The following is a 12,877-nucleotide window of genomic DNA, read 5'->3' as shown; positions in this document are numbered from 1 at the left end:
TCTTAAAACACTGAGGTCAGGAGTTTAAGACCAGCCTGGCCAACAAGGTGAAACCCCGTCTCTACTAAAAATACACAATATTAGCCAGGTGTTGTGGCATGCGCCTGTAATCCCAGCTACTCAGGAGGCTGAGGCAGGAGAATCGCTTGAACCTGGGAGGCAGAGGTTGCAGTGAGCTGAGATTGCACCACTGCACTCCAGCCTGAGCAACACAGCAAGACTCTGTCTCAATAAACAAATAAATAAATCAATAATAAAAATAAAAAATAAAAATATAAAGAAATAAGTGATGATATGATGGAAAAGGCCCCAAAGGAAGATTTATAGGACTCAGTTTTGATTTTGCCACATATGGACTGGTTCCCCCAGCCTCTTAACCTTAGGCATGTAACCATCGCTGTCTGCAAATTCACATGGCAAGGCGCCTCAAAGAGGAAGGAGCCCGGGGCACTTACTTTTAGGGAGCTTAAGATTTGGGTCACAGGCCAGTGACCTGTAGGCCTGGGTCAAAATCTACCCCCAGAAGGGTTGTGTTTGGTTCTTTCAGTATTAAAAATAATTGATTAGTTGCCTATATTTAAGAATTAGGTTATTCCAATTATAAATGTGGATTCCTGGCTTTATTTGAAAAACCAAAAGATCGAATTATGCTGATCCTGCATTCTCCCATGGGAACAACTGATCCTGTGAACAGGTGAATGGTGACCCCTCCATGGACAGGGCCGAAGGTCCCCAGCTCAGCACAGCTCCTACTTGATCCTTTCATTTATGGGTGATCTCTTGGTCCCTCAGTCATCTGAGTCCAGGACTTCAGGTTTAGTGAGTCTCAGGTTTAGTGAATGTCTTAGTTTGGGTTACCCCAGACCCTGAGACAAAAAGATTCCAGTGAAAATGATTTTTTGGGAAGTGATTTCAGGAAACAGAGGCAGGGGAGCAGGGGAATTAGAGAAGGGAGGGCAGCTAATACAGGGTGTGGAGCAAACGAGTAACCACTGTAAGGAACTGGTAACTCCCACTGGGATCTGGGAAACCGCATAGAGAACATGCCTCAGCATTTTCCTATCTGAGACAATGTTAAACTTTACCCAAGCCCTGTGATCCTGGAAAACAGTGAAGGTTAGGAGTCCCCCAGCCCTTCTGCATTCTGGAAAACAGCTTATTGCAAAGAACGCCCTTTCCCCATAGGACTTAGAAAAGACTCACAGAGGTCTGCTTTGTTCACCTGTGACAAGGCCAGAAGCACAAATTCCCTTCTTTGCCTCAAAAACTGCTTGTCCTCACTGATTGATCAGGACAAAATACATCTTTTTTTTTGGCGGGGGGTGAGGCAGTGAGTGGATGGAGTCTCACTATGTCACCCAGGCTAGAATGCAGTGGCATGATCTCAGCTCACTGCAACCTCTGCTGCCCGGGTTCAAGCAATTCTCCTGCCTCAGTCTCCCGAGTAGCTGGGAATACTGGCACCTGCCACTCTGCCCGACTAATTTTTGTATTTTTAGTAGAGACGGGGTTTCACCACATTGGCCAGGTTGGTCTTGAACTCCTGACTTCAAGATCCACCCACCTCGGACTCCCAAAGTGCTGGGATTACAGGTGTAAGCCACCACGCCTGGCTGACAAAATGCATCTTAACCAAACTTTGATTAAGCTTCTCTCCTTCACCCAGGTCCCTGGACTTTGGCCCACCCTCAGCCTAAACCAGCACAGCCCCTCCTTAAGGGTCCCTTTTGGAAAGAGACTGGCTTCAGGGTAGAGCATTCTCCAATCTACTATCTGATCATGCCACTCTTTCATCTCACTTTCCCTTATTTACTTCTCTATAAAAGGAAACTCTCCTTGCCTAACCTTGAGATGCTTGCAGATCTTATGGTCACAGCGTTCATCCCATTGCAATAATAGGGAGATAACATCCCTTGCCTCCCTGCAATAATCCTTTGAATAAATCCTCTCCTTACTGAGTCCGGATTTGTTTTTATTGATGGGGATCTGAGTTTTTATCCACCAGCTCCCATTCATCACTGACAGGGGACTGGTCCTGGATTTCCAGCTAGGAATGCCCTGTGCATTCATGCGCAGCTGGGCTCGGGTCCAGAGAAAGACCTCAGGCAAAGGCACAGAGGGGTTGCCAGTTGGAGGTGCAGGGACATGCTATGGGTGGAGGAAATGTGGGCTGGTCACCAACAGCCCAGTGAGTGGGTGGGTCATCTGCCCCAGTGAGCTGCGGTGGGTAAGATGAGGCATATCTAAGGAAGCCAACTGTGGTGGAATGTGGGGTGCATTAAGGGAGGCAAAGGCAAAAAGCCCCAGGGGTGTCCAAAAATGCAAGGTCATTTCTAGCAGGGGAAGTCAGGGTTGCTTCAAGGAGCACGTGACACCAGGTTGCTCCTGAGCCATGTCAGGGCCGTGTGACAGCCACAAGTGTCCTGCTCAGAGCTCCTACAAGGGAACCTGCTGTGGATGCTTTGCTGACCAGCAGCCTCCAGGTTGCACCTTTGGATCTATCGTGATTTTAACATCCACCCCCTGGCTGCTCTCAGCCAATGACTGAGCGTGGTAGGGGAACCGCCCGACAAGCGACTCCTCCAACAGGCAACTTTTGCTGGGATTCCCAGTCAGCATGGCTGAGCCTGCCTTCCTTTCTTCTTTTGTAGGAGTCAGGCATGCACCTCGATCTGAAAGCTGTCCCTGCCTAGTCCTGCTGCCTTCCTCTTTATCTTTCCTGGGTGTTTCCTCAAAAAATCTCTTGCATGCCTAATCCCATCTTGGTGTCTGGGTCTTGGAGGTGTCTAATGGACACAGACTGCAATAGCATCGATGGGGGAAGGACAAGGGAAGGCTCTCCAGGTAGCATTCATTGTGCAAACTAAGGTTATGCAGGAAAAAATCTGCTGGGGATGTCTGGGGCTGGGGCATGACATGTTCAGTTTCATGGGAGCAGAAGGTATAGGAATATAAGATTGTTGGTGTCAGATCATGGCAATCTTGTTCAGTTTAGGCTGGTTCAGCGGGTACTAGGGAGCCATGGAAAGTTTGTGAGTGATAGTGAGCTATTAACTGAGCTGTGCAGTAAGAAAATGAATTCAGAGCCGATAATGATGGGGAGGGTCCAGGTGAGATACTCTGGGAGGAAACAGCAGGTGGGATCAGAAGAGATCAGAGAGTTACAGCTGCCAGGCCTTGGTGGCTGGTGGACTTTGGAGTAAAGAGAGGAAGACATCAGCAGTGACTCCAGCTCTGACCCAGGAGCCTGGGAGGCTGGTGGTGGTGTGGGTGGAAATCACACGGTCAGGGTGAGGGGCAGCTGGCAAGAGGGCTTTGGGCACTCATCAATAGAACGAGGAAGAGAAAAATTGGGCATGTCTTATGAACTCAGAAAGGCCTGGCGAAAGGCAAAGTGTGGGATCGCATGCTAAACAGCCTGGGATTGAATTGCAACGCAACTTTCAGGAGCTCTGTGACTTGAGTGAGGTATTTTACCTTGCTGTGCTTCAGTTTTCTCATCTGTAATTTGGGCATAAAAATAGCACTTCTCTCATAAAGTTGCAAAGAGGATTAAGTGGGAGGGAACCTAGAGGGTGCACCCAAGAGTGTCGAGGTGCTGCCAGCTGGGATAGGCTGTGGCTGTGGCCTCCTCTCTGAGTAGTCATTGAGAGAATGAAAGTTCAATCCTTCCACTCTGCTTGTACCTTTGCAAGCAGTCCCTCACCAAAGGCTCCTCAGTTACCTAACTTGAGTGTGCCATGTTCTTTCCTGCCTGGACCCTGACTGAGACACCATGTCTACTCAGCTCTGGTGTCCTTAGCCACATGCCAATGTGGCTTTGTGCATCTGGGCTGTGTTCTGCAAAGCAGCTAGATGCTGCCTGCCTGTGGGGTGTGATATGAAGAGTCCTGAGAAACTTTCTGTCTCAGAAGAATGCCTTTAAGGTTCTACCACTTTATGTCAAAGTCTTGCCTTTAAAGTCATTTCTATTTTTCAGTCAAATGCATTGTATTTGCAGACGGTTCCTGTTAAATGCAATTTGATCATATGTGTGTGAAGGGATTGGAGGGATGAGGTAGAGGCCCTAGCGACACTGAATTTCCAAACTGCATCCAATTTGGCTCATAGACATTTCTGATTGGATTTGTTTTTAAAATAAATTTCTATCAAGCATTTAAAAAATTAAGATATAATCTGGCAAAATCAAGATTTCAGGCCTCTCTTAGAAACCCAGAACATCTGGCAATACTGGGTGGGTATTCATTCCATGGCGGCCACATCATGGCCGACCCTTTGGATAAAGCTTTTCATTTTGTCACAGACCCTACCATTCTCTACTGCCCCCGACACTGTAGCTGTTTCTTTTCTTTTTTTTCTTTTTCTTTCTTTTTTTTTTGAGATGGAGTTTCACTCTTGTTGCCCAAGCTGGAGTGCAATGGTGTGATCTCGACTCACTGCAACCTCCACCTCCTGGGTTCCAGTGATTCTCCTGCCTCAGCCTCCAGAGTAGCTGGGATTACAGGCGCCTGCCACCAAGCCCAGCTAATTTTTGTATTTTCAGTAGAGATGGGGTTTCCCCATGTTGGCCAGGCTGGTCTCAAACTCCTGGCCTCAGGTGATCCACCCGCCTCAGCCTCCCAAAGTGCTGGGATTACAGATGTGAGTCACTGTGCCCAGACCATTTTCTTTTCATCACAGTGCTGGACCATTATTTTCCTCCAGACTTTCTTATTTGTCTTTCCTTTTATTCGAGACTTGTTCTACTGAGATGCTTACCTGACCCCATTACCTGACCCCAATAGGCATTTGAGGAACATTTTTGTTCACCAAATTAGCTCCCAAATTGCAGGGCTATGAAAAAAAAAAAGACTCAGGACTGCTAAATTTTGACTGAGGAGGCAGGGCAGAGGTGAAGAGGCTAAGTAAGAACTTTTGGGTAGCTAAAAGATATGGGACAGAAGGAATTTTACCCTTCTACAATCCTTAAGTATATAGAGAAGCACATAAAGCTATTTCAAAAAAGTAAGCTTGCACCTTGCACCTGAAGAGTCACTTTCCATTTTGTTTGGTTTACATTTATTGCATTTGCTCTACCATTTTCTAGTGGACAAGTAGCAAACTGTACCAAAGGTTTATGAAGAATTCTTTTTTTTTTTTTTTTTTGAGACGGAGTCTCGCTCTGTCACCCAGGCTGGAGTGCTGGAGTGCAGTGGCGCGATCTCAGCTCACTGCAACCTCCGCCTCCTGGGTTCACACCATTCTCCTGCCTCAGCCTCCCGAGTAGCTGGGACTACAGGCGCCTGCCACCATGCCCAGCTAATTTTTTTGTATTTTTAGTAGAGACGGGGGGGTTTCACCATGTTAGTCAGGATGGTCTTGATCTCCTGACCTCGTGATCTGCCCGCCTCAGCCTCCCAAAGTGCTAGGATTATAGGCATGACCCACCGCGCCTGGCCCGGTGTATAAAAAATTTTTGCAGGGGATGGAGGTGCAATATTTTGAGAAAATCTCCTCTTTCCCTCCCTCCCTCTGCTGGAGAACTGAGGGCACCATTTCTTGATTTTCTTGAGGACGCTCAATGAAGGCTGAGTAAGAACAGATTCCATGTGACTTGAGCCCCTGCTATGGGCTTATTCTGTGCTGAGAGACAGGTCCCCATCTGCCTCTGGCTGTGAAGGCTGCATAGAGAGCAGAGTGAACACAGAAGCGCTCGGTCCGGTGGAGGAGGCTTAGGACTGTTTTCTCTTGCTTGAAGTATATTCAGCAAGCAAGACACATGCTGGGAGCACTGGACCCCAGAAAAGGAAAATGAAACATTTACGTGGATCCAAGGATGGCATTGCAAAAGCAAAAGGAATCTCCGAGGCACTAAGTCAATATTTGGATTAAAAAAGAAAAAAATCTTACCAACTTCAAACAGTTTGGTGGCATTAAACTCCTCGCTTCCCGCAAGCAGACTCACTTCGGTGGCAGCTGTCCTAAAAGTGTCTTCAATTCCTAAACACAGACAAGAGCTCATTTTTCCATCATTACATGGAAAAAGTTATCTCCCCCACCCCAACAATAAAAAAATAAATACACCTGAACAAAGCCTTTTTTGTATTCATTACTACTCACGGGCAGAAACTTGCCAACAGAGGAAACAGTAAAAAGCAGGTCGTAGTGCAGAAACTATATTAAAACCCCAGATACATTGGCAACGTGAAATCAGATCCAAATGTGCCTGAATAAGTCCTAGGAACTCACTCACTGAGCCCAGGGATGGGGTTTTGGGCAGTGGGGGACACATGTCAGGATGGTGTCAGGGTGACAAACTAAACCAGAGGCAGTAGAACGTAGTGTTTAATATCTTGTTCTTAATGACTGACTGTGTGCGTTGAAATCATTACTAGCCACGTGACCTTGGGGTAGCCAGTGAACTTTTGTGTGCCTCAGTTTTTACATCTGTAAATGGGAAGAACAAATTGCCCTACCTCCTAGAGTTGAAATAATGAAATGAGTTGGTGTAAAGAAAGTACTTAGAGCAGCAAGTGGGAAGTGTTAGGTGGTAGTTTTCCCTTGAATATTTGTCTAGCTCATTCTTTGTCTAGCTCACTGAGGATGCTACAATGCATAGCCAAGAAGAGTTATCTCATATTCTAGGACACTTAGCATTGTTGGTGATGCTTCAGAAAGAAAAAGTTGGGCTTCTCATAATTTGCTCTGAGGAACTGAACCCAGCTCTACTCAAACTTACTGGCTCACCCAAACTACCACCCCTAACCAAGCTTCCTTTACAATCAGGAATCCGGTGCAAGCTAAAGCAATAAGAGGAGGAGGGAGTGAGGCACTGTGGTAACATTTGCTGGTGAGCCTTGGCCTTCCCTGCTGGTTTCCCTGACTTGATTTCCTTTAAGGGGCTCTCTCTGATTTTATGTGAGGCACCTCAAACTTATTTGCAGGGTTGACCTACAGGACAAACTTTTACAGTGTAATAACTGCCAGGCCAGGGAGACTTTGCCCCATGAGTCTTTCCAGGAAAGCTGGGAATCAACGAATCAAACAAGTAAAGAGATCCTTAAAAACGAAATCCTTCATGTTACAAGGGAGCCCAGAAAAGCTGCAATAGCCAGGAACTGAGAGGCAGAAAGGATGCAAGGAGGGTGAGGACACACGAGAAGAAAAGGTATGAAGAGGGCTCCTGGCCACACTGCTCTCCGCGGTGACAGAAAACAAGAAGGAAACATTTGTAAATGGAGGCAGAGGGGAGCCTTCCCCTGACAAGGCACTTAAATCTACCACCTTGAGTCTGGATGTGAGCTCTGGAAGAGAAAACAACAGGAAAGCCCCCAAACCTTGACTTCAAATGCTATCTGTGTCCCTGTGTGGCTGATTCCAATACCCTTCTCTTGGTAAAGACCAAAGAGTTTAATGATTAAGAATATGAACTCTGTAATCAGACTGTCCGGATTCAAATTCCAGGTTGATCACTTGCTTTCTGTGTGACTCTAGGCAAGTTAATCCTCTATGCCTCAGTTACTATAGCTGTCGAATGAGTACAATCATAAATACCTATTTCATAAAGTTATTGTGAACATTAAACAAAATAATACCTGTAAGGACTTTAGCCATTTGCTTGACACTTAAGTACTCAAAAAATCTTCTTCATCATCATCTATTTTATTTTTTCTTCTTCACCTTTATCTTCATTTTCTTTCTTTCTTTTTTTGTTTTGAGACGGAGTCTTGCTCTGTCGCCCGGGCTGGAGTGCAGTGGCCCGATCTCGGCTCACTTGGCTCACTGCAAGCTCCGCCTCCCGGGTTCCTGCCATTCTCCTGCCTCAGCCTCCCGAGTAGCTGGGACTACAGGCGCCCGCCACCATGCCCGACTAATATTTTGTATTTTTAGTAGAGACGGCATTTCACCGTGTTAGCCAGGATGGTCTCGATCTCCTGACCTTGTGATCTGCCCGCCTCGGCCTCCCAAAGTGCTGGGATTACAGGCATGAGCCACCGCACCAGGCAATCTTCATTTTCTTTTGCCTCATCTTTTTACCTTCATCATTATTTTCGTTTACTTCATATTCTTCTCTTTTTCATTTCCTTCCTGTTTCCCTCTTCCTCCTCCTCATATTGTTATTATTTATTGCTTATTTCTACACATCCAGATTCCACCCACCAGGCTTCCAACTCAGCTCATCCTAATGAGCATGGGAAAGTCAGGAAAAGCACCGTAATGGTTGCTCCACTGTTTTGAAATCCATCTGCATGGCTGACATGGAGCCAGAACCGCCACTTCTTGCATTTCAGCCCTGTTTTCTACGTGTCCCCTTTTGCTAACATACACATTCATTCCAATCTGATTCTTCCTCCCTCTCCTCAGAAACGCCTTTGTGCTTTCATTTCTCCTTTGTTCCAAATGTCTCTGGTTGGAGAACTGAGTGTCTAAGGTAGAAAAAGGAAGTCTGGGGTGTAAGGATCAGATTTTCTGTCTCTGAAATTTTTTTCAGCCAAAGCCATTTGGAATGTGTGGTTTCTTGAAAGGCTCTAAGATATTATTTTAGGCTGGTATTCTACCTGGCAATGGGAAATACACAGTAAGACTATACACCAGGAGTTACTAAGCCTTTTTTAAAGGGTCAGAGGGTACATATTTTAGGTTTTGTGGGTCACATATGGTCTTGGTTGCAGCTTCCTCCTCCTCTTCCTCCTCCTCCCCCTCCTCCTCCTCCTTCTCTTCCTCCATGCCCTTCCCCTTCTCTTCTTCCTCCTCCTTCTCTTTCTTCTTCTCTTCACAACAGTTTAAAAATGTATGGGACACACAAAAACAGGTCTCGAGCCAGACCTGGCCATAGTTTGACAACCACTGCTATAGTCAATCACAATTATTGTTGACTCTCAACATGACCTCTCACCAAGTGTGCAATTAGTTTAGTTTTTGAAGCACTGACAATGCAGTATAAAGTGACAGTTAACTACCAAGACGCCCCAGGTTGCGCTCCTGGGAGCCTTTGGCAACTCTCTGGTATTACCGGTGGGGCTGTCTTTTTCCTGCAGATGGTTGTCAAGCCTCTCATCCTGGCTTCCTCATCAGACCATGAGTGTCTGCCTTCTGTTTCTCTTCAAGGGACAACAAATCCCACATCAAAAACCCAATCTAACCAGAGTCCCTCCTCTAAATTAAATAAGTACAATGCGACATTGTCTTTTAGGTCACGGCCACTGCAATTGTGCATAAGACTCAGAAAATCCATTCAGCTCATCAATTATCTCCTGACTCACTCTGGTCAGAAGTCTTATTAGAAAAGTAGTTACATCTTGCCTCATGCCTGTAATCCCAGCACCTTGGGAGGCTGAGGCGGGCGGATCACAAGGTCAGGAATTTGAGACCAACCTGGCCAACATGGTGAAACCCCTTCTCTACTTAAAAAACTACAAAAATTAGCCAGGCATGGTGGCATGTGCCTGTAATCCCAGCTACTCAGGAGGCTGAGGCAGGAGAATTGCTTGAACCCAGGAGGTGGAGATTGCAGTGAGCTGAGATTGTGCCACTGCACTCCAGCCTGGGCGACAGGGAGAGACTCCGTCTCAAAAAAAAAAAGAAAAGAAAAGTAGTGCATCTTTTAAAAAGACAATGTCACTAAGTTTTTAATGATAAATTAAAAAGCTTTCCCCTTGAACTTGGAGCTACACACTCAGGTAAACGCACCTGGGCAGTTTGGACGGTCACAGGTCCTCGATTCTGTTGCAGTGCACGCGTAGCCACAAGACCGGGTCCGTTTCTGGTTGCCGTTCCCGCAGGTGACGCTGCAGACAGACCAGAGACTCCAGTCACCCTCGCCATCTGTGGAATCTGGAAGACAGCCAGGGAGATGGTCATCAACTTTGGCCAAAGAGTCTCCCAATCTCCCCATCAAGCAGCCTGTCAATTATTCACTTCTATCCTTCTCGCTGTGGGAGGGGATTGCTGGAGAGGACTTTTCAGCTGGAGCTAAAAGGTTTACAGCTCCAGGGCTCATTTAGGGATCAGCTTTGTGACAGCAAGGAGGTTTTGGGCACTGTGGTGGTCTGTACATCCCTAGAAGGTGCCCAGAAAACACTTACTGAGAATGCATACATTTGCACAGCATGGGGTAATATGCTAGGCAGTTTCCAAAGGTAACCACCCTCAGTTCCTTCCCTCTCTGTGCTTATAGCCTCTCATTGACATACAGAGAGAAAGAGAGAGAGAGGAGAATCTATTTTCTCTAGAATCTGGGCTGGCCTTGACCTTAAGGCCTGGCAGCTTCTGACTTTTGCTTTGGGGAATCCAGTTACTGTGAAAGATGTCCATGCTAGACCTGTGAATTATGGGACATCACATGGACAGAGAGGAGCCACATGGACTACAGACACCAGACATGTGAGCAAAGCCTTCTCAAGCCTTCTAGCCATTCCCAGTGGACAGCTGAATGCAGCTGTTGCCATCAGGAGCAGAGTACCTACCCAGTGGCCCTGCCTGAACTCCTGAGCCACAGGATCATGAGAAATAATAAACGGTTGTTGTTTTAAGCCACCAACTTTGGGATATTTTGTTACGTGTAGCAATAGATTACCGATACATTAATGGTGAAGCTAGAGATGATCCCTCAAGGTCATTATTCAACATCCATCCAGTGAATACCTATTGAACCCTTTTTGTATGTCAGGCACAATTCTTGGTACATGAGATACACTATTAAGTACAACTTTCAAAGATCCTTGCCTTGGAGGAACTAATATTTTAGTGAGAAAAGAGAAACAATCATCAATAAACACAAAAAACAAGTGAATTAGATGGCATGTTAGAAATTGATGAGTGGTGTGCAAAAAGGAAAAGTAGGCCAGGAAATAGGGGGGCTTGGAGGTGAGAGGTGTGGGAGAGGGTGGTACCCTATTGATATGGTTTGGCTCTGTCTCCCCACCCACATCTTACCTTGAATTGTAATAATTCCTATGTGTCAAGAGTGGGGCCAGCTGGAGATAACTGAATCATGGGGGCAGTTTCCCCATGTTGTTTTCGTGGCAGTGAATAAGTCTCACGAGATCTGATGGTTTTATAAATGGGAGTTCCCCTGCACAAACTCTCCCTGGCCTGACACCATGTAAGATGTCCCTTTGCTCTTCCTTTGCCTTCCACCATGATTGTGAGGCCTCCCCAGCCATGTGGAACTGTGAGTCCATTAAATCTCTTTCCTTTATAAATTACCCAGTCTCGGGTATGTCTTCATGAGCAGTATGAGAATAGACTAATACACCTATCAAACTGAGTTCCTCTTATCAAAAGTAAAGTCTTGGAGTGGTAGGATGCCTGGTTCAAGGTCACTGGGTTAACAGAAAGGAAAGCAGGGCTCTGGTACCACGCCCTTTCTCTCTAAAGCGTGATTCTTTCTGCAGTACCTCTGCTCTGTGACAGTTTCTCCTGGTTTACCCAGATCTTCCTATGGCCTTGGGCCCTCTGCTGCTGCCAAGCGTGGAGCTAAAGGCATGCCCCTTGCCGGGAGGGAGTACCCTCTGTTCATAACAGGTCGTGGCGATTGTTATTACATAGGCCCAGCAGGAATGTAGTCCACACATGTTTCTACCTGAAATGTGGGCCCGTGCCAGCCTTCCAGGCTGTTGTTTACATGGCATTCACTCTGAACATGCCTCAGGCAAACACAGGGCTGTGGAGCCTCCTCAGTCCACTAAGTGGAATTGGAGGAGCGGGGTGGTGGGGGGTGGATTTCATGGTTGTGTCCTCCTCCCTAACTCTGAGTGGAGAGCTTGCTCCCATCTTATCTGCCCCCCGAGGCCCCATCTATTTTCCTCCCAATCCCCCAAAAAGAATTTTTCTGAACTTTGATTTTTCTCCTAAGAAATGGTTTTCCAACCACTCAGCTAAGCAGATGCTTGAAACTAATGCTCTGTGTCAGGAAATTCGGCTGCCTTCCCTGGCATTAGCTTCTTTCCTCTCTACCATCTCTTATTGGGTATCACACAGTAGGACTGGAGAAACAAGTTGCTTCTGGATGGAGAAACCACTCAGGTAGGAGCAGTCGCTGCTCCCACCGAGAACTTTGCAGTCTGGTGTCTCTCAGTCACCTCCCCAAGGGCACCAGAGAGGTGCCTGGAACAAGCACACAATTGCACACTTGTCAGAGAAGCATCCAGGTGCAGCGGGTCATACGCACATGAGCACTCACCCAGTCACATCCTGCACACACCACCGAGGCCAGATTTTGTTAAAGGGAATAACAGCTAAAAAAAGGTCAAAAGTAAAGATTATAATGTTTTTATACTCATAAAAAGGGGGAATGAGTAAGTCAGAAGAAATCTTATTAAATCCCCTAGGTAGAGTTTGCATCACCTGTGGGGTGGGTACCAGCATAAGACATAACCCAATGATGCCAAATGGTGTTCTTGGCTTTGCAAAAGCAAAGGGACCTCCACTATCCAGAAATCTCATGCAGCCTGGCCTCTCCATTATCGCAATGTAGAGAGCAAATTTGGAGAGACATCACCCCTGAACTTTGAGATTTTAGCATTAAACTATGTATTTTAGCATTAAACTCTCTTGTGTTGGAATCCCTGCATGAGGCACTTTCTTGTTATAGTTTCTTGGATCTAAATTATTAAATGTTAATATTGTGTCCGATTATGTGAAAAATCATGCCCATAATTCCTCTTTCCAAATCCACGCCCTTGGCTACTCCCCTCTCGGGCTGATTCCAGGATGGGCCACATGACTTGCTTTGGCCAATGGGATAATAGCAAATAGGATGCCAGCTGAGGTATACAAAGTGCCCGTGCATTCCGTCTTGCTGCAGGGAACTCTTCCCCCAAGCGTGAAGTGCCTAGGCTAGCCTCCTGGAGGGGGAGGGACCAGTGGAGAGAGGCCCCAGCCATCTCAATACAGC

The 12,877-nt window shown here is 46.5% G+C and overlaps 2 protein-coding genes across 4 annotated transcripts in view; one reads left to right on the top strand and one right to left on the bottom strand.

Moving 5' to 3' along the window:
• The window catches only part of TASP1 (taspase 1), a 534,161-nt gene that overhangs the window by 340,580 nt on the left and 180,704 nt on the right, over positions 1 to 12,877 (top strand). The gene's annotated exons all lie outside the window — the stretch shown is intronic.
• The window catches only part of ISM1 (isthmin 1), a 105,450-nt gene that overhangs the window by 28,371 nt on the left and 64,202 nt on the right, over positions 1 to 12,877 (bottom strand). For both annotated transcript variants that reach the window (XM_017027680.2, NM_080826.2), the window contains exons 4-5: positions 9,670 to 9,813; positions 5,890 to 5,979 (exon numbers count right to left, since the gene is read on the bottom strand). In XM_017027680.2, the coding sequence (XP_016883169.1) occupies positions 5,890 to 5,979; positions 9,670 to 9,813 (234 nt within the window). The remainder of the gene's footprint in view (positions 1 to 5,889; positions 5,980 to 9,669; positions 9,814 to 12,877) is intronic.

Source organism: Homo sapiens, chromosome 20 (genome assembly GCF_000001405.40).
Source record: "Homo sapiens chromosome 20, GRCh38.p14 Primary Assembly".
Lineage (NCBI taxonomy): Eukaryota > Metazoa > Chordata > Mammalia > Primates > Hominidae > Homo > Homo sapiens.
Note: the sequence above shows the minus strand (reverse complement) of the source record. Positions and strands in the feature narration are given on the sequence as shown.